Source organism: Homo sapiens, chromosome 5, assembly GCF_000001405.40.
Source record: "Homo sapiens chromosome 5, GRCh38.p14 Primary Assembly".
NCBI classification, from domain to species: Eukaryota; Metazoa; Chordata; class Mammalia; order Primates; family Hominidae; genus Homo; species Homo sapiens.
In genome coordinates this window covers 30,773,472-30,775,532 of record NC_000005.10, presented here as the reverse complement: position 1 = coordinate 30,775,532, position 2,061 = coordinate 30,773,472, and the positions used below count along the sequence as shown (strand labels likewise).

At 34.3% G+C, this 2,061-nt stretch overlaps 1 annotated feature.

Annotated features, from left to right (window-relative positions):
* Positions 1,529–1,698: an enhancer, noted in NCBI's record as "experimental_84391 CRE fragment used in MPRA reporter constructs". NCBI's record gives its function as "activates a minimal promoter by MPRAs in K562 erythroleukemia cells, with activity observed for the non-introgressed 5:30774027 variant allele {active_cell/tissue: K562}" and the evidence as "EXISTENCE:reporter gene assay evidence [ECO:0000049][PMID:34662402]".

The following is a 2,061-nucleotide window of genomic DNA, read 5'->3' as shown; positions in this document are numbered from 1 at the left end:
CAGCTAGGTCAGTGTCTGCCCAAATGGTCATCCAGTTTTGTGCTTGAAACCCAGGGCCCTGGTGGTGTAGACACCTGAGCAAATCTCCTGGTTGTGGGTTGGGAAGGCTGTGATAAAAGCGTACCTGGGCCTGAATGCTCTGTCCCTCAAGGCACAGTCCCTCATGGCTATCCTTGGTTAGGGGAGGGAGTTCCCCAACCTCTTGAGTTTCCTGGGTGAGGCAATAGCCCACCCTGCTTCTGCTCGCCCTCCGTTGGCTGCACCCACTGTCTAACCAGTCCCAATGAGATGAACTGGATACCTCAGTTGGAAATGCAGAAATCAACTGCTTTCTGCATTGGTGTTGCTTGGAGCTGCAGACCAGAGCTGTTCCTGTTTGGCCATCTTGCCCAGGGATCCCCTCCACTTCCAAATTTTGTTGAAAGGTATAGACATCTGGGGGTAGAAGGCCACATCATGTTTTTAAAGTGACTGAGCTTATACATTTTTGTGTGGCATTTACATTTTTCATAAAATATATCTTTTATTTGTACTACATTTGCCATCTAGAATTATAAGATAGGTTGGAAGAGGTTCTGAAAAGTAAATTACTAATCAGATCTGAGGAAGCTCAGAAAAACTTTGTTTATAATACTAAAAGCCTTCATCAATATTTTAAAGTGGACACCAGAACTGATTATTACAAAAGCCCTGTATTGACAGTCTTTAGACAATAATAACTGTTATTAGACAATATTTTAAAAATTGCTTAAGGGTAAGCCATTTTCCTACAATGAAATAAATAACATTTTATATTTATTCCTATATTAAGATGCTCAGCTACCAGTTACTCAGTTATATAAGCTATAATGGACAAAGAGAGCATGAATTCCCCAGTTCATCACAAAAGCATACCTGAGGGTCAATTAAAACCAGTGAGGTGATCTGCAGCAGGTAGCTTTGCATGCCTTACAGAAAGGAGTCAGAAACTAGTAAAAATAAGATAATTTTTAAAGTCTTATTATTTTTATAATGAAACCTTTTTTCATACTTGACATATTCTAGAAAATGTAAGAAAATTATCCAGCATATTATTATGGGAATTGAACATTAGGTTAACATTCAAAAATCAATCAGTGTAATTTAATTATGCTAACAGAATAAAGAAGAAAAATACAATATGATCATCATAATAGATGTAGAAAAGGCATTTGATAAAATTCAACCCCTTTCCATAATAACAATTTTTAGCAAACAAGGAATGTTCTTAATCTGATAAAAGATATCAACAAAAACCTATAGCAAACATCCTATTTAATGGTTAAATATTGAAAACTTTCTCTTGAGAAAATTGAGATAACAATGCCACCATCACCAATTCTATTCAACATCATCCTGCAGTTCTTGGCCAGTACAATGAAGTAAATAAATAAATATATAGCAATGTGTTGGAGGAAAAAAAATATGTCATAATTTGTGTAAAATACAATTGAATAACTAGTAAAAATTAACTAGTAAATTCAGCAGTGTTACATGTAAGATTAACATAACCATCAAACATTTCTAAATATAAGCAAACTTTAGAAAATAAAAATTTTATAATGGTAACTTTTAGAATAGCTTTAAAATACATCAAATACCTAGGAATAAACCTAATACAGTATATTCAGGATCTCTACAAATAAAGCTAGGAGGCATAAAGGAATTAGAGAAGACTAAATGAGTGAATAATGATACCATGTTCATGGACTGGATAATCTAGTGTTGTATATCCAGTATGCCCTAATTGATTTATATAGTCAATGGAATTCCAATCAAAATTCCATCATTTTTTGTTGGAAATTGACAAGCTGAATATAAATATGTGTGGAAAAGCAAAAGACCAAGAATAGAAATGAAAATTTTGGAAAAGAACAAAGTGAGGAATCTCACATTGCTAAATATCTACACTTTAAATCACCAGTAATTAAGACAGTGGAGTGATAAAGTAAGGATAAACAAAGCCACACACAGCATCCAGATACACTCACTTGAATTATGACAAAGTTCCTGTCTAGTGCAATTGGGAAAAGGTGTTCTTTT